The sequence below is a fragment of the Homo sapiens genome, chromosome 10 (genome assembly GCF_000001405.40).
Source record: "Homo sapiens chromosome 10, GRCh38.p14 Primary Assembly".
Lineage (NCBI taxonomy): Eukaryota > Metazoa > Chordata > Mammalia > Primates > Hominidae > Homo > Homo sapiens.
Window position 1 is genome coordinate 87,762,795 of NC_000010.11, and position 21,933 is coordinate 87,784,727.

The window sequence follows — 21,933 nt, forward strand, 5'->3', positions numbered from 1 at the left end:
GCACGGTGGCTCATGCCTGTAATCCCAGCACTTTAGGAGGCTGAGGCGGGCGGATCATGAGGTCAGGAGTCCGAGACCAGCCTGATCAACATGGTGAAACCCCGTCTCTACTAAAAAAAAAAAAATATATATATATATAAGCCGGGTGTGGTGGCGCGCGCCTATAATCCCAGCTACTTAGGTGGCTGAGGCAGGAGAATCGCTTGAACCCAGGAGGTGAAAGTTGCAGTGAGCCAAGATCATGCCACTGCACTCCAGCCTGGGCGACAGAGCGAGACTCTGTCACAAAAAAAAAAAAAAAAAAAAAAAAAGGCAAAATATAATTTACTGATTTCTTATCTAGGACCAAAGTTCCTTACCTAAAAAACATGGAGAATTTTAGGAATTTCTCTGAAACTGTACATATTTCATGTACATACGTAGCTTTCTTAGAAAAGACTACTTTTATCTCATTCTTAAAGGGCTCTATGACATGCTCCCCCCAAAATGATTCATAACCACTGATCCTAATCTTTGTAATTTGCTAGGTTCTTTAAGCTTTTGCATACACTATATGTTATTTTGATATGTTTTAAGGCAATAGGTCAAGAATGGTGGTTCATGCCTATAATCCTAGCACTTTGGGAGTCCAGGGCAGGAGGATACCTCGAGGTCAGGAGTTCAAAACCTGCCTGGATAACAGAGCGAGACCCTTTCTCTACAAGAAGATTTTTAAAAAACAAAAAACAACTAGCTGTGCGTGGTGAAGCATGCCTGCAGTCCTAACTACTTGGGAGACTGAGGTGGGAGGATCACTTGAGCCCAGGAGATCAAGGTTGCAGTGCACTATGATCATATCACAGCACTTTAGCCTGGGTAATACAGTGAGACCCTAAAAAAACAACACGTCAGCCTGGGTAAACAGAGTGAGACTCTATCTCTCCTCTCTTTTTTTTTTGTAAGTTACATGGAACTCTGCTTGATAAGATATCTGATCTCTTTAAAAAATAAATAAATCATTAGGACACAACTGAAAGACACAAAGGTAAACAACCCAGAAAGACATATATGCCTTTGGGCAGAAAGATTCAACATCAAAAAGATTATCTTAAATGAGAATCCACCAAAAATATTAATGCTTGTTTTTTTCCTATGTAAGACAAATTGATTCTAAAATTTATGCAGAGAAAAAGAATTAAAATAACCTTGGGGTTCGGGGACAACAAGGGATATATAGTTCTACCAGATATTAAAACTTACAAAGCCTCAATAATTAAAACAGTATTAATCCTAGTGCATAAAGACACGAAAGACCAAGACCTGAATTTAAAGTCCAGAAACAGAGACAATACATATGAGAATTTGGTAAAAGTGGCATCTGTAGTGGCTATAAAAAAAAAAATGGGCCGAGCGCAGTGGCTCATGCCTGAAATCCCACTGCTATGGGAGACCGATGCACGTGGATCACTTGAGCTCAGTACTTCGAGAGCAGCCTGGACAATATGATGAAACCCTGTCTCTATGAAAAAATACAAAAAATTGGCCAGGCATGGTGGCACGTGCCTGTAATCCCAGCTACTCGGGAAGCTGAGGCACAAGAATCACTTGAACCTGGAAGGCAGAGGTTGCAGTGAGCAGAGATCACGCCACTGTACTCCAGCTTGGGTGACAAAGCAAGACTCCGTCACAAAAAACAAACAAACAAACAAAAAGGTGTTGGACAACTAGGTATCCATCTAGAAAAACAAAACCAAAGTTGGATTCATACTGCATATCATCTATCTAAATTCCAAATATGATAAAGATTTAAATGTAAAACGTACAAGCCACTGAGATATTATGTTTCTCCTGATGGAAGAACATAATTCTACTTATGAAGCTGTGCTGTCCTGTCCTGTGTCTCCTCCCCACCACCCTGAACCTCATCCAGTCTCTTGATCCAACTACCAATATTAGAGCAACAACTACTCCTCTGCAATCGGCAAAACCCAGACTGTGGACAACTTAGGACAAACCCAACCTAGTTTCTCCAGTAAATAATTTTAAAAGGTTGGGTGTGTGGGGGGGAAGCAAGATAAGGGAAGAACCTATAACCTATAAATTAAAAGAGACATAAAAAGTATCAAAGAATTGCAAATTAGGAAATTCATACGATCTTGAGTCAAATACATGGTTTAAAAAAAGGCATTTAGAAAACAATAATCAGAGACTTGTACATAGACTAGATAATGAAAATAATGACTTACTGTCAATTATTTAATAGGTATAACATGGCAATGAGGCTAGGTTAAAAAAAAAGAATCCTTTTCTTTTAGAGATACAACTAAAACATTTATGGGTGAGATATAATGGGAAAAAATAGGAAGTGTGGAAGTAGGGCATGGCTGGAGAAGAATTAGCCATGGGGTTTCTGGTAGTTCAAGGAAGGAGGGAAGCCATAAAAATACAAGTATTTTGATAAAAGTAGTATCTCTACTAAGGTTCATTCACTATCAGAATCTATTTGATTTATTAGTTTATACAGTGAGTTGTAACAGTGAGTTTAGATATCAAGTTTGGGATAAAGAGGAATACCACGTTATTCAATTATATGCAGTTATCGAGTTTTGGGAAAACAGGTAGCAAGAGTTTGGAAAGTGTGGAAAATTACTTTATAAACTTGGGAGTAGGAAAGGCCTTTAAATTTATATTCAAAATCCAGAAGCCATAGGGGGGGTGGGTGGGGGGGAAGAAAACTCCAATAAAATCGGAAGACAACTTGGAAAAAAATATTTTCAAATCATACAAAGGGCAAATCTCCATAATACAAAGAGTTCCTACAGATTTATTATGAAAAGGAGCACTGCAATAGAAAAATGGGCAAAATATATGAATATACAGTTCACAGAAAAAAATTCAAATGCTTCTTAAACATACAATATTCATTCCATCCCTAAAGAATGCAAATTAAAACTTTAATGAGATAACCATTTTTGACCAGCTGTGGTGGTTCATGCCTATAATTCCAGCCTTGGGAGGCCAAGGCGGGGGGATTGCTTGAACCCAGGAGTTCAACACCAGCCTGGGCAACACAGCAAGATACCATCTCAACAAAATAAATAACTAAATAAATAAACAGAATTAGCCAGGCTTGCTGGTACATGCCTGTAATCTGCTTGGGAGGGTGAGGCGGGAAGATTACTTGGGCCCAGGAGTTTAAGGCTGCAGTGAGCCCTGATCACACCACTGCACTTCAGGCTAGGCAACAGAGAGAGATCATGTCACAAAAAAGAAAAAAAACAAAAACAAAAAAACAGAGAGATAACCATTTTCTATCTATCATGTTGGCACGAAGTTCCATAACATTCTGTTGGCAAGACTATAGGAAAAGAGGCACTCTTTATCACAGGAATATGAGTAAACCGTAACAATGTGGCAATAGCTACCAAAATTATAAACACTCTAACCTTTGATCTAGCAATTCCGCTCCTGGATAATTTACTTTACTAATATTCCTGTATAAGTATGAAATGACATACACACAAGGTTATTAAATGTAGAATTTTTATAATAGTGAAAGACCAGAATCAATCCAAATGTCCTTCAATGTGGCATTGATTCACTAAATTCCAGAATGTCCATACAGTGGAATCCTATGTAGTGTAAAAACAAAGAGAGACAACAGAATAAGGAAACTAGATGCTAATATGGAAAGATCTCAACGATACGTAAAAAAAGCAATGCACAGAACAGTGTGTATGTGTTATTGATAGTTTATATAAAAAATAAGTAAATAAAAGGAGAAATAACATATGAGGCCAGGAGTTTGAGACCAGCCGGGCCAACATGGTGAAACCATGGTAAAAATATATGGTAAAATGCAAAAAATACATGGTAAAAATACAAAAATTAGCCGAGTGTGGTGGCACACGCCTGTAATCCCAGCTACTCAGGAGGCTGAGACATGAGAATCACTTGAACCTGGGAGGCAGAGGTTGCAGTGAGCCGAGATCGTGCCACTGCAATCCAGCCTGGACTACAGAGTGACACTCTGCTTCAAAAAAAAAAGAAAGAAAAGAAAAAAATATATACAGGAAAAAAGAGAAGATTTTTCTCCGTGTATTATTAAATATACATACTTTAATTTTTGAAACATGTGACCAAAAAAACCTTAAACACAAAAGCTATTGAAAATTTTGATTACCACAACTTCTTAAATTTAAATTTCAACTTCAAAAAATATTGCAATTTTCAGCACCACAGGAAAGGTTAAAAAAATGCAATTAAGTAAAAAACAACGACAAAAAACTTCTGTAGAAAAACAAATGTATCTTACATAAAATCAGACAATAGTCTGAAAAATATCAGAGCATTTTAATGCACAGATACAAAAACACATGGCTCTAAAAACATAAGAAAAGTATCTTTAACTCACATATACCATAGTTACTGAGTTACATAAGCAACCAAGAGGATTCAGGTCAAGTTCAAAGGTGTATCAGTGCCTCAGCCTTTTTGGCATCAGGGACCAATTTTGTGGAAGACAATTTTTCCACAGACCTGGAGAAGTGGAGGAGGGGGGCATAGTTTGGGGATGATTCAAGTGCATTACATTTATCATTAGACTCTCATAAGAAGCGAGCAACCCCCCTCGCATGCACAGTTCACAATAGGGTTTGCAATCCTATGAGAATCCAGTGCCGCTGCTGATGTGACAGGAAGTGGAGCTCTAGCCCACAGCTCACCTCCTGCTGTGCGGCCCAGTTCCTAACAGGCCATAGACCAGTACCAGTCTGTGGCTGCAGGGGCTGGAGATCCTTGGGGTATATCATTCTCAGATTCCTTCCTCATTTTTCTCTAAAATAACTTTATGAACATCAGATTTATAGGACGGGGAAAAAATTTTTATTTTCTACTTACATTTTCATTTTTCAAGATGAGTTTCAGGATTGCTTCTCTCTGTTTTAAAGCCTAAAAGCAGGATAATTTCCAGTTAGCATTTTTATTTTTTATTTTTTTAAAAAGATCAAGTAGTGTTCCTAATATTTTGTCCCTTCTAAAGTCTCTCTCAATACTTATAAGGAGATGACAGAAACTTTGAAGAGGTCAAAGCAACTAGATTCAAGGCTCTAGAGTAATTATCTCTGGTTCTCCTACTGAACTGTATCTTCTTACTCTCATCCCCAGTGCCTAGTACAATGTTTGGGAAATAACACACCTTTAATCTTTAATGAGTAAATGAATATCTATGACTATAATGTCTTCCCTCTATAGTTCAGCAATCTTCATTTTTTTTCCCTTCATGCAGGAAACTCATGAAAACTCACCATAAAATTTATTATCAGTAATTCAAAGAGATGGCAACAGTAACTTCTCAGTTCCTCCATTTCCTTCTCCTTCTTTGACCACTAATTTATATTAGTGAATTTTAATTTAGTGCTGATGATATATTTGTTTACATGTCTGTATGCTTTTCCCCCAGTGACAATTCCTATTTTTACACCATACAATAAATACAAACTACATTTAGCTCCTTTTATAGAATCCCTCAGCTATATAGTCAATATAGATGCTTCTTAAAACTATCATGGCTGAATTTATCCCTATTCCCACAAACATCGACAAAGCAGAGCTGGTTACAATGACTACCAAATCAAATTACTTGAAAAACAAACCAAACTCTGCTCTTTCTGTAATTTAAGTGTGTCAAGTAGGAAGGTTAATTTGATATGTCATGTGATCACCAACAAATACTCTGTTAAACATTTCACTTGGAGAAAAGTTTTAAGATTAACCATACACTTTACATCATATTACATAAGAAAAAAAACTAACCTATAAAGCGTATTCACTAAAATGGAATAAAATGGAGGTTACAAATTTCCATTTCTATGTTAACACTATACAAATTTATAATAAACTTGATAAAACCTGTTACAACCCATTTTGATTACTCACACGACATATTAAATTTACAACTTTAATTGTGGCTACTTTCCATGCTACTGTATCCTATGTTCTATTGTACTGTACATCAAAAACCATAGCTGGCCAGCCACAGTGGCTCATGCCAGTAATCCTAACACTTTGGGAGGCAAAGGTAGGAGGGTCCCTTGAGGCCAGGAGTTGAGACTAGCCTGGGCAACATAGTGAGACCCGTCTGTAAAAAAATTCAAAAATTAGCCAAACGTGGTGGTGCATGCCTATAGTCCTAACTACTCAGGAGGCTCAGGTGGAAAGACTGTTTGAGCCCAAGAGTCAAGGCTGCAGTGGGCTATAATTTATAATTGTACGGCTGACAGAGCAAGACTCTGTCTTTAAAAAAAGAATAAAATTTAAAAAACCCTTAATTGTCCATTGTACTAACTATTGGATTAGTGATAGAGATTCTATAAATTATCTTCAGAACCAATTAGGTAAACAAATTTTTAAAAAAGTGTTCTGATGTCTTGCTTACAAAATCAAAACTCTTGTGCAAAGCATATAAAGTTCACCTAAACCCAGAAGCAGTCTACCTTTTCAGCCTCCTCTCCATCTATATTCCTTGGTGCTGCGCTCACCAAACTACCCTCAGAACTCACCATTAAACAGTGCTTCCACAAATTCTTGACTTTGTTCATTCTGGCAGGAAAGCCCTTCCTTGTCTCATTTGCCTGTCAAATTCCTATCATCCTTCAAGGTCCAGCTGGATTCTGTAAATTCCATGGACTTCCCTGACAGAATATTAGTTTTCATCAACATCTCAGGCTCTCATAGCTCTTTAAACATACCTTCATAAAGCATATTTTACATTATTTATTTCTGTGTCTGCCTCTCCAAAACAGAATTCTTCAAGGACCAGGCCCATGTCCCATCCACCAGATCCTAGCAGGTCTGTGACACATATTAATGCTCAATAAATATTAGTCATACTAGGCTGGGTGCAGTGACTCATGCCTGTAATCCCACTTTTGGAGGCTGAGGCAGGCATATCATCTGAGGTCAGGAGTTCGAGACCAGCCTGGCCAACATGGTGAAACCCCGTCTCTACTAATAATACAAAAATTAGCAGGGCATGGTGGTGGGCGCCTGTAATCCCAACTTATTGGGAGGCTGAGGCGGGCTCGCTTTAACCTGGGAAGCAGAGATTGCAGTGAGCCAAGATCGCGTCACTGCACTCCAGCCTGGGTGACAGGCAAGACTCTGTCTCAAAGAAAAAAAAAAAATCAGTCATACTAAATAAATTTTATAGTCTCCTAAATTAAGTTTAAAAATCTTTTCATTGATTCATTGGGTAAATTTTCTAAGGATGTGCACACACTTAACCACTTTATTACAGTTGTAGCTATAGTAAAGAGTTGATCAGAGTAATTTTATAGAGTCCATAACCATCAATCTTTCAGAGATCATGTTTACTACCAAAAACCAATCTGATAAATTACAGAATATAAATGGGACAAATGATTTTTAGCCAGATTATAAATGGAATTAGAGTAAGTTCCTCTAAATGGCAACACATGTAACATGCTGATTGTATGGAACATATTTTCTACTAGTAAAACCTGTTTTTTCTTTCCTTTGCAGTCTGAAGGCAGACAGAATTCAAGATTTGAAGATCTGTGCCAAAATTATAGTGTACTGGTAAGTCATAATCATCTACTAGAGGGGTACTTTTTAACTAACAAAAAATGCTAGAAAGAAGGCAGAACTGGTTTAACACCATCTAAGCGTTTGCATTCTTAAGGTAAACTATGATATCTACTGGAATCATTAATCCTATCAGGGAAGCACTGACTACATCTGCCAATACTCAATCAAATAAATCCCTGTTGTTGTTCATGGCAGGCCTTCTGAATAGAACAATTCTTCAAGCCAAATTTCTCCAATTCTATTCTATGCTAAACCAAAACTATAATTTAGATTTTCTTATGTATCTTCCTGTATAGATGACTTCCTATATCCTAAAGTAAATCACTAAAATAGCCAGGCAAACTTGAGATAACTATATATATATACTTTGAAGAGAAGCAAGTAACACTAATCTTAGGATAGAAATAGAGAGTGGAAAGGACAAAGAAGCTACTGTCAGGGTTTCTGCCCCATTCCTTCCCTGTCATAAGCACCCCTATATGACAAAATATTCCCTTCTTAAAATTAAAGGTGAAGACCTATAAAAAGGTGAGTATTTAACTCTTCATAATATCAATCAAGACCACCTACAGGCTGGTTGATATGAAATCTTGTAGGCATTCTTCTCATTATAGCCGAGTCAAGGTCCTGAGGACGATTGGTAGCTCCCATTACTATGACCTAAGTGTATAAAGAAGACAGAAGGTATTAAATCTACCAATTATACTCCTCTGAGAATGTTATTACTAGGGCTTAGTTTTAAAAATTAAGTGGTATTTTAACTAAATCCTTTGTAAGAAATCTGATTTTAAATCACTATTATTCAACTATTTACAGGTATAAATTGAAGTTAATCCTAAATAAATCAAATATTAGCAAAACTGGAAAACTAATGCATTTCACTTCATGTCTTTCTAGAAATTAAAGTATGTAATGTTCAGTTGCAAATAGCCACTGAAAAATTATTAAAATTTGCTTTTAAAAAACTATTGTATTTTGCAAAATATGGTGCTTAATGAATACATGTTGAATGACTAAAACCCATTATGTTATAGCTTGGGTATACAGTTTGGGAGTATAAGGGGATAATTCAAGTCCTTAAATAATAATATTATGGAGAGAATCATTTCCCCTTAATAAGTCTGAAGATTCTGGTAACTGTAATAGATACTGTGTACTTTTTCTCTATATTTCACATCATCATCTCATGGTACTATCAGCACTGCAGGTGATAGCTTCTCAATGCGAAATAAAGTCTCAAGTAATCCAACTTTAAACAAAGATAACAGAGTATAAGCAAACATCAAAATGCTGGGAAGAACTCTTTTTAAAAATGCTGGCAGCCCTGCCAACCTCTGAGTCTATGTCACTTATTTATAAAGGATGTAGAGATTAAAAAAAAAAAAAGAACTTTAAAAATAAACATGAATAAAAACAAAGATATATAAAACAAGTTAATTTCTGAAGGACATCAATATTACCTTTACTGTTGATACTTCAGTATAACCCAGTAACAATACACATCTGCTATCCAAAGTGAAATTTATTGGTATTCCATGGAAACACATTTCTCTAACATTACCTTATTTCTCCCTAAGAGGTTTTACATTTCTGAAATAATCCAAATCTTATATCCTACTTCTACTCTACACTGAATGACATTCAGGAGCCTCAGAGCCCAATTACTTTCAATTAACTGTGAGAGTTTGCCACCTAGAGGAAGAAAATATAAACACAAATTTGAAAAATGTTAGTTCCACAACACAACATAATGCAAGTTTGTATTTGTGTTAAGTGGTCCTAAAATCAAAATATTAATGCTCATATTTATTTTTCTTTATTTTCTTTCTTTCTTTCTTTTTTTTTTTGAAGACAGAAAGTAGCTGGGACTACAGGCACATGCCACTGTGCCTAGCTGATTTTTCCGTCTTTAGTAGAGACAAGGTCTCACTATGTTGCCTATGCTGGTCTGAAACCTCTGGGCTCAAGCGATCCTCCCCACTCAGCCTCCCAAAGTGCTGGGATTACAGATGTGAAACACCACACCCAGCCTCTTTATTGACTTTTTACAACTCAATAAAATTAATAAAAAAGAAAAAATTTCTTCCAAATTTAAAACAAACAAATCTTAAAAGTGGGTGAATGAACTAAAAGCATAAGATAATGAATGAGTATAAGGAAAAAACATCACAAAAGACACTGTGGTTAAGTCAATATTTGGGGGGGAAAAAGGGAAATGGCCAGCATTTGAAGAAACATAGGACAAAGCAAAACAAAATTTAAAAGCCAGTATAGAGGATGGAATACTAAAAAATAGAACCAAGGAATCCAAATAAAACTAGTAAAACATGGCCTATTGAGTATGTATAACAGATACTCATGATGAAAAAGCAAAAGTGATTGAAATCACGTGTAGTTTCACATAAAGAAGCAAATTCTAAGGAGTAATTTTAAGCAGCAAAAGCAGAGAACCTTTTCATATATATTAATTCAATACAAATGAGCTAAAATATAAAACAGGAAGTGACAGTAATTTTTTACTACTTAAGAAACAAAATCAATGCTCCTTTTATGTGTTAGTTGTTCAAACTTTTAAAAAAATCTTTATTTTCTGTTCCTGCCTTCATTTGCCAAGAATCATGGCCTCCAGCTTCATCTGGAGGAGGGAGAGGATCAGGAAAAATAACTAATGGATACTAGGCTTAATACCTGGGTATGAAATAATCTGTACAACGAACTCCCCAAGACACAAATTTATCTATGTAACAAACCTGCACATATACCCCTGAATTTAAAATAAAAGTTTAAAAAAAACTCTTTAAAACAAAACATAATTTTTTTATCATTTCACATTTAAAATAATCAGACCTAAATTTACATCCCAAAACTTTAACTTCATCAATGAATACCCTAAAAACACTATCTTTTATGTCTCATGTCTCTCAAGAGGAAGAATATGTCATCAGTCACCAAGGTTTCCAGAAACAGTGACCGGTTTCATTGAGCCGTTCTCTATTTCTATTTCCTTGGTGACCATATTACAAGAAAGCTAGCTAGGGTACTGGGCTCTCTTCATAATCATAGAAAAGACAATTCTAGAGAAGAGCTAACTGGTTCATATGAAAGTAGAATATGTCTAAAACTATTACTCAAAATTAATAATATCAACTTTAACCCCCGCCCCCAAAATACAATAAAGGTTAAAAAGTGACCGCAGTTTAATAAAAAGGCAGCAGCATTTGCTCTCTCAAATCAAAACTCATCATAATGAAAACAGTAATTGCTATTAGTGCAATAAGGAATTTTGGTTCTGAAAACTCTGTTTTAAGTTATGCTGTACCAGAATCATACTGTGGAGCTATAGATGAAGTGGCTCTGGAGAAGACTTCATCCAATTGCCTCTATATCCCCTGCTGAAAATAGTTGAACACTATGCTCTGACAGGGTACATAATATTAAGATATTTTCTCTTACATGGGCTAACTATCCAATTGTCTAAGTGCTTTAAGTATTATTTCTCAGGGAGAATAATTAGTTTTTGGCAACCTGTACATGAGTCCCATTGATAAACCGCATAGATTTATCAAAACCAATTATTAATGAAAAATGTTTCTATTAATGTTACCTAAATTTATCTATGTTATGTTTTTTCTTGAACCATTCAACAAAAGCTAAAGGCTGTTTTCCTCATAATAAAACTACACTTTCACAAACATAATGTAGAAGGAGGACATGTGGCTTAATTTTCTTCTTGAGAATGATGTTGTTCAGACTTTTGACTTATGCTAATGCGGTGGGCTTAAGGGATCCTTAAACCCTCTGGCCACAAAAAGAAAATATTTAAAAGACTCAAATAAATTAATCTACAATTTTGCAAAGAAGTAAACGAATTAAGCTAAGGCTGGAGGTAAAGCCTATGTACTTAACTCAGGTTAATTCCTCATAACAGTTCTGAGGTAGGTAATATTCCTCCCTTTTTATAGATATTATTCCCTCTATACAGATACAGAGTGATTATAAAATTTGGCCAAGGCTACACAGCTTGTTGATGCCAGGGTTCTGATTTTCTAATCCAATTAGAAACATGAGTAATAAGCAAGAGCCTATCAAAACTGACCTGGTAGATGTGAAAAACAATCTAAGAATTTCTAAAACTGAAAAATATAATACTTGAAATAATAAGCTCAATGAAAGAGTCAGATAGTAGAAGAGCTTCAAATGAACCAGAAGAAAGGAAAAGAAATTATCCAGGACATAGCACAGAAAGACAGAAAATATGAAAGAGACGTTAAAAAAGACATGAAATAGGCCAGGCACAGTGGCTTAACCTGTAATGCCAGCCAAACTTGGGAGGCCAAAGCGGGCAGACTGCTTGAGCTCAGGAGTTCAAGACCAGCCTGAGCAAGATAATGAAACTCTGTCTCTACAAAAAAAACACCAAAATTAGCCAGGTGTGGTGGCGTGCACCTGTAGTCCCAGAGACTTGGGGTGCTAAGGCAGGAGAATCGCTTGAGCCCAGGAGGTTGAGGTTGCAGTGAGAGCCATGTTCACGCCACTGCATTCCAACCTGGGCAACAGAGTGAGACCCTGTCTCAACAAAACAAAACAAAACATGAAATAGAAATAAGGTCCTACATATATCCAACTTGCATTCCAGAAGGAGATAAAACATGGAGAACAATAATTGAAGAAATAATAACTGAATTTTAAATAATTCTAAATATAATACTTTTTTTAAAAAGGCAAAAACAGATTACAAAATAGGAAATACTAAAGTTGGCTGGGCGCAGTGGTTCATGCCTATAATCCCAGCACTTCAGGAGGGTGAGGTGGGTGGATCAGTTGAGGTCAGGAGTTCAAGACTAGCCTGGCCAACATAGTGAAACCCAGTCTCTACTAAAAATACAAAAATTAGCTGGGCATGGTAGTGCACGTCTGTAACCCCAGCTACTTGGGAGGCTGAAGCAGGAGAATCGCTTGAACCCGGAAGGCGGAGGTTGCAGTGAGCCGACATCACACCACTGTACTCCAGCCTGGGCGACAGAGCAAGACTCCATCTCAAAAAAAAAAAAAAAAAAAAAGAGAAAATACTAAAGTTAAAACAACAAAAGAACACTGTTAACTTTTCCATGAGATATAAGTAAGTGATTCATTAAAAAAAAAAAAAAAAAAAGGGAAAATGGTTCTAGGATGTTTATTTCCAGCAATCTGGCTGAAAAAACAAACATGCCAGATTAACTTCTTTTTAACTTTCTTTTAAACCACTAAGCTGACAAGAAAGCACAGAATATTCAGAGGCCAAAAACTAAATGAAAACTGGGAACCTGAAGAGGAAAACTGAAAAATAAAGCTCTCTTTCTCTTTGGTCACATAACAGGGAACAAGCTATGGTTTCACAGCCATACAGGAGGAAGAGGAAAAGCCTAGGATACAAGTCTGTCTCGTATAAAATTGGGATCCTAAAGATAGGCATAGGTGACAGGAAGTGAGAAAGTGTTGTCAGTTTCAGCTACTAATGAACTCTGTCAAATGAAAATCAGGGAAGTGACTAAGAATTGACAGTATAAGGAATTATGGTGAAAGTCAAAAGTAAGAACCGAGGAAAACAGAAAGAACAGTTTTTTAAAAAAATGTACACAATACCCACGGACACTAGTCACTTCCTCTCCTTAGCACTGTAGGTTCTGAAAATTCCAAGGACAGGCTTTACTCTGGTGTTTTCTCTTCTGCTGTGTCTGTTTCAGGCATTTAGGCAATCTACTAATGTTTTGGTAAACACGAAGTCCTCAAATTGGATAAAGTTTATACAAACCATATTCTTTTGGATCCTTATCACTTAGTCATAAGTGTAAATAATTATGAAAAAAAAGTTTGTACAAAAGCATAGTAAGTAGCCCAGCAAATTTTCTATTAAGAACAAAAAAACCAACACAAGTTGAGGGCAGATTTTATTCAAATACCTGGCAGCTGTGATCAGTATCCAATCCATCCCAGAGACTCATAAACTGAGCTTTCATCATGGCTGTAGCTTCATGGTCAGAACTTGAACGGTTTCGTAGAAAGGAGTCTAGAAGTAAAAGGTCCTTAACCTTAGAAATTAAGAATTAATTATTTACCCTTTTTTTTGAGACAGGGTCTCACTCTGTTGCCCAGGCTGGGGTGCAATGGCGCAATTACAGCACATTGCAACCTCGAACTCCCAGGCTTAAGTGATCCTCCTGCCTCAGCCTCTCGAGTAGCTAGGACCACAGGTATGTGCCACCATGCGGAGCTAATTTTTTTTTTATTTTCTGTAGAGACAGGTTGACTATGTTGTCAAGGCTGGTCTTGAACTCCTGGCCTCAAGTGATTCTCCTGCCTTGGCCTCTCAAAGTGCTGGGATTACAGGCATGAGCCACCATGCCTAGCCTTATTTTATTTACTCTTTATGTAATTTCAAATGTTCCTAACATACTGAAATGATAAAACGTTTTAGATGATGGGTATTCTAATTACCCTGGTCTGATCACTATATACTATAGTGATCATTGAAATGTCACTCTGTACCCCATAAATATGTGCAATTATTATGTCAATTAAGAAAAATGAAAAGAAAAAAAGTGTTTTAAAGCTGAAAACTTTATGAAAGATTACAAAAAAATTGGGCTATGTGTTTTAGACATTCTGATACAATAAACTTGGTAAATTATTAGGCAAATTAAAACACAATCATTCATAATTTTTGTTTCTTCTCTAAAAATACATTCATGACAACATATGTAAGAAAAATGAAGGATCTAGTACTGAGAGGCTGGAAGAGTTATGTGGAATCTCAGATGAAAGCCTGTGTGTTTTGCCTCTAACTTTCTAGGTCACCTGAACCCTATGTGCTCTTAGTTATGTTGCATACTTTTTTCTCATGCAGTTTCCTGTTAATAAATAAAAACGACATGGAAAAATGAGCAAAACACTATTAAGCCGAAAAATGTAGGACAGAAAATGATTTAAAACATATATGCTGGAATGTACATACATATGTTATACAAGGTAAAAAAAGGTTTTATGGAAATATACCAAAATGCTAATTACGTTGTATTATAGCTCAGGGATGGATTTAAGGACAAGTTTAACTTTCTCTTTTAAATTATTTTCTGTCTTCCAAATTATCTACAATGAACATGAAATGCTTTTTTAAAAAAAGGGGAAAACAATTTTATTTTAGAATATAAGACTGAAAGGTGCTACATCCTAATAATTTAAAAAAAAAAACAGTAAAAATAAATCTAGGATTTTCTAGTACAATCCCCATTTCAAATGTTTTGTCTTATATCCCTATAAATCACTTTTATTTCTGAATAACTATTACATTTTAGCATTGAAACTACAACACAAACTTTGTCGATCATACATGCAAGTGGCACAAAAATATCTTGTAATGTGCTATGTCCACACTTCAAAAAAGTATTTTTTATAAAAAGTAATTTCAGCAAAAACACATTACCATGACACATGAGAGTCCTGCAATGGCAAACATATATCCTAGATTTATTTAAAGTTTAATTCTGTAAAATCTGTCCTATCATTGGACTATAATTCAAACTAACCCATCTATTCTGAAGGTGGAAAAACCAGTCATTTTAAAACTGCCTAATTTTTAAAGATAAATTTTAAAATTCAACTGCCTACTTAATCTTCCTAATCTTCACTAAGTGGTTTTGGCAAGATGGTTACTTAAAATAATATGAAAAAATGCTAGATATGTATAAATAATTACATCCATCATTAAATTGTGAGTGGATTAAAGTCTCCAAATACATGACTAAGATATTAGAATAAATTAAAAAAAAAAAAAAAAAAAAAACTCAAGGCAGGCAGATCACTCAAGCCAGGGGTTCGAGACCAGGCTGGGCAACATGGCAAAACCCCTCCTCTATTCAAAAAAAAATTTTTTTTAAACAACTATATGCTTGCTTAGAAGAAACATACTATAAATATAAGGACTCGGAATGATCAAAAAATAGAAAATGACACAGGTTGAGTATCCCTCCCTTATCCAAGATGCTGAGGACCAGAAGTGTTTCAAATTTCAGATTTTGGAATATTTGCATATACATAATGATATGATATCTTGGGGATAGAACCCAAGTCCGGATATGAAATTCATCTATGTTTGATATATACCTTATACACATAGAATGAAGGTAATTTAATACAGTATTTTACATAATTTTGTGCATGAAACAAAGTTTTGACTGAGGTTTGACCACAATCTGTTATATGAGGTCAGGCATGAAAGTTTTCCACTTGTGGCATCATGTTGTTGCTCAAAAACTTTCGAATTTTGGAGTACTTTGTATCTTGGATTTTTGGATTACAGATGTTCAATCTGTATCTGCAAACACAAACAAAAAATTGGATAGACTTTTTTTTTATAAAAGTAAATGCACATCTGACAAATGGTGCTGGAGCAATTGGACATTCATCGGCAAAAAAACGGACCAACACAGACTGTAATTTTCACAAAAATTAACACAAAATGGATCACAAATATACATGTAAAACACAAAACTATAAAACTTCTAGGAAATAATATAGAAGAAAATCTAGGTGACCTTGGACTTGATTAATTTTTATGTCTAACACCAAAAGCATGATCCATCAAAAATAAATGTGTAAGTTGGACTTAAAATTCCTGGCTGGGCATGGTGGCACTTTGGGAGGCCGAGGTGGGTGGATCACTTGAGGTCAGGAGTTTGAGAGACCAGCCTGACCAACATGGTGAAACCTCATCTCTACTAAAAATACAAAATTGGCTGGGCATGGTGGCGAATGCCTATAATCCCAGCTACTTGGGAGGCTGAGGCAGGAGAATCACTTGAATCCAGGAGACAGAGGTTGCAGAGAGCTGAGGTCGTGCCACTGCACTCCAGCCTGGGCAACAAGAGTGAAACTCTGTCTCAAAAAATATATAAAATAAAATAAAACAAAATAAATAAAATAAAATTCGTGCTATGTGAAAGATACTGCTAAGGAAATGAAATGACAAGCCACAGACTGGCAAAAAATATTTGCAAACACATACCTGGTAAAGGACTTGTACCCAAAATATAAAAAGAACTCTTAAAGTTCAACAATAAGATAATAACCTAATTGTTGTTCCCAACACAAATAAATGATAAATCTTTGAGGTGATGGATATTCCAATTAGCCTGATTTGCTCATTGCATAGGTGCCTCATACATATGTACAATTATTATGTATCAATAAAAAATTAAAAAATCAAACAATAAAAAATATTACAATTGTTTCAAAATGGGAAAAACATTTGAACAGACACCTCAACAAAGATACACAGATGACAAATAAGCACATGAAACAATGTTCCACATCATGTCATTACGAAAATGCAAATTTTAAAAATGGGAAACTATTAGATACCTATATATCTATTACAATAGCTAAAAATCCCCAAAATTAATAAAACCAAATGCTAGAGAAGATGTATACCAATAGGAACCTCAGTTATTGCTGGTGGAAATGCAAAATGGTACAGCCACTTTGGAAGACAGTTTGCTAGTGTCTTACAAAACTAAACACTGTTTTACCATGTGATCAAGCTGTGGTACTCTTAGGTATTTCACCCAGTTGAGATGCAACCTGTGTCCACAGGAAAACCTACACATGATGCTGTCAGCAGCATTACTCCTAATTGCCCAAAACAAGGTGTCATTTTAATAGACGAATGGAAAAACTAACTGTGGTACATCTACATAATAGAATATTATTTAGCAATAAAAATAAGCTATCAAATCATGAAAAGATGTGGAGGAAACTTAAATGCATATTGCTAAGGGAAAGAAGCCAGTCTGAAAAGATTACATAATGTATGACTCCAACTGTAACATTACAGAAAAGGTAAAACTATAGAGACAGTAAAAAAAGATCAGCGGATGCTAGCAGTTTGGGAGGAAAAGGGAAGGACAAATATTTGATACTATTGTGTATGAGACTGTAATGATAAATAAAAAACATTATGCTTTGTCAAAGCCCAAAGAACTGTGCAACACAAAGAATGAACCTTAAACTATGGACTTTGGTTAATAACAATGTATCAATACTGGTTCATTATTAAATGTCTCATGCTAGTATTAATACTAGGAGAAACTATATATCTGGGGGGCATATGGGAACTCTCTATATGATTTCTGCTCAATTCTGCAAACTTAAAACCATTATTAAAAATAAAGACTATTAATGTATTTTAGAAAAGGTTAATGAAGATATGAGGTTGCAAGAAACAAAGAAAAAAAATCCCAGAGTTCAGAAAAAAGTGGAACTGAACATAAGAGTTGGAAAACCTTGATGTGATTATGCTACCGTCTGTTGTGTTTGTATACACAGCAGGTATGCATATAGACATATACAGCATCAAAAGGTTCTGCTTTGTTGTTAACATCTACATACAGGCTGAAGCCAAGATGCTTGGAAGGATTAACACTCACAGAAAGTGTAGACAAGAAAAAAAATTTTGCTCGTCACTGTACAAGGAAACTTGTCCATCTTTGCCTGGGCTCTGAGGGGTAAAAATGTCCTCCTTACACAAAAAACTAGGACCATGGGGAGTCTCTTTCAGGTATGAAGTCTAAATTTGTACCACCATTCAGTCTGGGAACACACAAACTGAGAAATTATCTAAAATTGGTTTTGAACGATCAGACCCCTGAAGTTCTAAGCTGAGGACAGAAAAAGTACTCTGGATCTTCTTAGGCAAAAAAGAATTCTCATATAAAAGCAAGCCTAAAGCCATCTAATGTTACAAATGACACAAGGAAACAAACCACTATTAAAAAAAAGTCAACATAAAGTAAAATTAGAATTTCAGAAAAGAGCAATTCAAAAACTACACAAAAATAGTATGTTTAAAATTCTAAAGATATAAAAGGGATTGAAATTCTAAAATAACAAGCTACAGTAAAAAAAGGGAAACATTTTATAAAGAACCAAACAGAACTTCTAAAGTTCAAATATAATCAACAAAAAACAAACCCAATAGTTGAAAGATTAAATATAGCCAAGGAAAGAATTGCCTTTATAATCTACTCAAAAATTGAATTATTTTTAAGTTGTACCATTATTTTGTGTACCAACAAGAAACTTAAAATGCTGCCAACTCAATTGTAACATGCTATCCTAATTTCGAAGATGTTAAAATGTAAAAAACAAAACAGTATGTCTTAGAATTGATGAAATACTGTACAGAACTAAATGACAAACTGTAGAAATGACTCAAAATGGAAGAGATGAAGAATTTTTTTTTTGAAGATGGGGTCTTGCTCTGTTGCCCAGGCTGCAGTGCAGTGGCATGACCTATGCTCACTGAATATCCTCAATCTCCTGGGCTCAAGTGATCCTCTCACCTCAGCCTCCCAAGTAGCTGGGACTAGAGGCATGCGTTACCACACCCGGCTAATTTTTGTATTTTTTTTTGTAGATATGGGGTCTTACATGTTGTCCAGGCTGGTCTCAAATTATTGGACTCAAGGAAACCTCCTGCCTTGGCCTCTCCAAGTGCTGGGATTACAGATGTGAGCCACCACACCTGGCCTGAGAATTGTTTTTTTTTTTAATGGGAACATTGCAACATGCAAATATATACAATGGCTGAGAAATCCTCCAGAATTAATGAAAGTCACACATCCTCAGATAAGTGGCTTAGCAGGCTAAATGAAAATAAATGCAGACCTAGAAAAAAACCATACTTAAATAGCAGAATGACATGAAAATCTAACAGCAACTAGAGAGAAAGGATAGATTACTTACAAATATAGGGCAATAAGGAGAATTCTCAAAAGCAACAAGATTAAAAAGATTAGAATGCAGTGGAATTGTAGCTTTAAGACGCTGAATGTGATTCTGTATCATTTAAGAGAGAAAGTAGAATTAACACATGTTCACACACAGGAAGAATCTACTCTTTGTACAACCTTTGCTGAAAGAACTTTGAAAGACTTCAGTAAAAACAAAGTTAAATCCAGAAAAGACAAGATCAAACAAGCAATGGTGAGCAAAAAACCTAGCAAACGTGGCACTAAACAAGCAATGCCAGTATAAAATAGCAATTAATATCGAAGGTAGAAGAAAAATAAAATGTTTAACAATAACATGTAAGAGATGAGATATTATTATTACCTAAGAGTTCTAAGTTCTCTGTGAATTATTTGGAAGGAAGGTAGAGATTACCCTTGACTTTTAAGTTGATATTCTAAACGTTTCACTAAAGTAAAAGAACGTATAACTTCTAAACCTGTAGCAAGAAAAAGGGAATAAAGCAAAAAAGTCTACTAGACTGGTAAATTAAAAGCAAAAAATAATATAGCAGAAGTAAATCAGCTAGGCGTTATAATCCCAGCACTTTAGGAGGCTGAGGCAGGAGGATCATTGGACCCCAGGAGTTGGGGACCAACCTAGGCAACATAGTGAGACTTCGTCTCTACAAAAAAATTAAAACATTAGCAGGGCATGGTGGTACACGCCTGTATTCTCAGCTACTTGAAAGGTTGAGGCAGGAGGATCGCTTGAGCCGGGGAGGTCAAGGTTGCAGTGAGTCATGGTTGTGCCACTGCAATCCAGCCATGACAGAGCGTGAAAAAAAAAAAAAGAAATCTGAATTATCTCAGCTATCATAACAAAATCAAACTAATCACACTTCCCAGTTAAAGAGAAGCTTAGATTAAAATTTTTAGACAATATAGCTAATAGGCCAGGTGTGGTGGACACACCTGTAATCGCAATGCTTTGGGAGGCCAAGGCAGGGCAGATTGCTTGGCCCCAAGAGTTTTAGACCATCCTGGGCAACATGGAGAAACCCTGACTCTACAAAAATTAGTGGTGTGTGGTAGCACACACCTGTGGTCCCAGCTACTCAGGAGGCTGAGGTGGAAGGTTCACTTGAGCCTGGGGAGGTTGAGGCTGCAGTGAGCCATGATCACGCCACTGCATTCCAGCCTGGGTAACAGAGTGAGATGCTGTCTTAAAAAAAAACAAAAACAAAATAAACTAGCTATATATTCCTCTGTTCAAGATGCACACCAAAACACCAAAATAACTGGAGTAAATTGATGAGAAAAGATACATAAAGCAAACAAGTAACCAAAACAAAGCTATACTACATATTTGTATCTATTTTTCTCTCTACATATTTACATAGCCTATCATACTAAATTTAACAATAATAAAATATAATTCAAAACTACAGTAATAAAGCTATATAAATATATATCCAATACTAATAATACTGTATTAGTATAACTATATATATTTATATATACATCGTACCAGGAACAGAACAAAAATATTGATCCATAATATAGCAAGAGTCCATTAATATAAAAGTCATGACATACAGCAAAGGATAGTCTAGTTTGCTGTCTTTTTGGAAAAGAATGAAATTAGATTCCTATCTCATGTTATATATAATTTTTAAAAAGAGAACATTTATGGGGATAGTGAAGGTATTTGTAAACCAGATACAAAACGTATAAACCACAAAGGAAAAATACTGACTATAGCCAAATAATAAACTGTAAAAAAAAAACTATCAGAAAAAAGATAGACTAGAAAATAGGTGTAATCATAATAAACATCAACAAAAGAAAACTACAAATAACTCCAAAGAAATATTGACAATTCACAAATAAGAAAACCCAAATGGCTAATCAACATGCTAAAAGATGCCCAAGTTTACTACCAAGCAGGAAAACATAAATAGGTATAATAACTAAAGAACTGGTAATCCTAGTGAGGTTGAAGATAGATATATCACACAACCAAATGATTCAACTTCTAGGTATCTTTCCCGGGCAAACATATATACATGAGAAAACATGTACATGGATATCTACTGCATACTGTTTGTAACAGAGAAAAGACAGAAAAACCTATCTATCAAGTAGGGGAGTATATAGTCTATGGTTCATTCTACAACACAGAAATTATACATAGCATATTATGATGTTGGTTATGTTCTTTGTTTTATTAACATGGCCTAATAAATGTTAAAAACTAAATCTGGTTATCTAAATATCTCTAAAAATGGCCTTTAAAAATACTCATATAGAAAACATAGCATACCTATTTCATCTATAAAGATGATGGATGGTTGTAGCTTTATGGCAAGGGAGAAGACAGCAGCAGCCAATTTCTGAGATTCTCCATACCACTTATCGGTCAGTGTCGAAGGCTGAAGGTTAATAAATCGACAGCCTGCTTCTTTGGCTGTGGCCTTGGCAATCAACGTTTTACCACAGCCTGGAGGCCCATAGAGAAGAACACCTGGAAATGAATATGTTATTTATTACCTTTAAGGGGATATTTGCTTCAATTTATATG

At 35.5% G+C, this 21,933-nt stretch overlaps 1 protein-coding gene and 1 long non-coding RNA gene across 19 annotated transcripts in view, besides 1 other annotated feature; one reads left to right on the plus strand and one right to left on the minus strand.

Moving 5' to 3' along the window:
- Positions 1 to 21,933, minus strand: part of ATAD1 (ATPase family AAA domain containing 1) — an 89,850-nt gene that overhangs the window by 11,283 nt on the left and 56,634 nt on the right. For 8 of the 18 annotated variants that reach the window (NR_135914.2, XM_005270252.6, XM_047425908.1 and 5 more), the window contains 4 exons: positions 21,676 to 21,876; positions 13,527 to 13,633; positions 8,158 to 8,247; positions 4,879 to 4,929 (listed from right to left, as the gene is read on the minus strand). Coding sequence is in view for 17 of the 18 variants with exons in the window: in XM_005270252.6 (XP_005270309.1) it covers positions 4,879 to 4,929; positions 8,158 to 8,247; positions 13,527 to 13,633; positions 21,676 to 21,876 (449 nt within the window). In the remaining variant the exon portion in view is untranslated. Of the gene's footprint in view, positions 1 to 2,776; positions 3,612 to 4,878; positions 4,930 to 8,157; positions 8,248 to 13,526; positions 13,634 to 15,736; positions 15,938 to 21,675; positions 21,877 to 21,933 lie in introns of those variants that run through there. The other 10 variants (XM_047425911.1, XM_047425912.1, XM_011540303.4 and 7 more) reach the window with 4 other exon arrangements.
- Positions 3,924 to 4,135: a silencer, noted in NCBI's record as "fragment chr10:89526475-89526686 (GRCh37/hg19 assembly coordinates)". NCBI's record gives its function as "represses an EF-1alpha promoter that drives an FKBP-Casp9 reporter gene in an ReSE screen in K562 erythroleukemia cells {active_cell/tissue: K562}" and the evidence as "EXISTENCE:reporter gene assay evidence [ECO:0000049][PMID:32094911]".
- The window catches only part of LOC124902476 (uncharacterized), a 36,088-nt gene continuing 19,038 nt past the window's right edge, over positions 4,884 to 21,933 (plus strand). The window contains exon 1 of the long non-coding RNA XR_007062224.1: positions 4,884 to 7,578. This is a non-coding gene — a long non-coding RNA (uncharacterized LOC124902476). The remainder of the gene's footprint in view (positions 7,579 to 21,933) is intronic.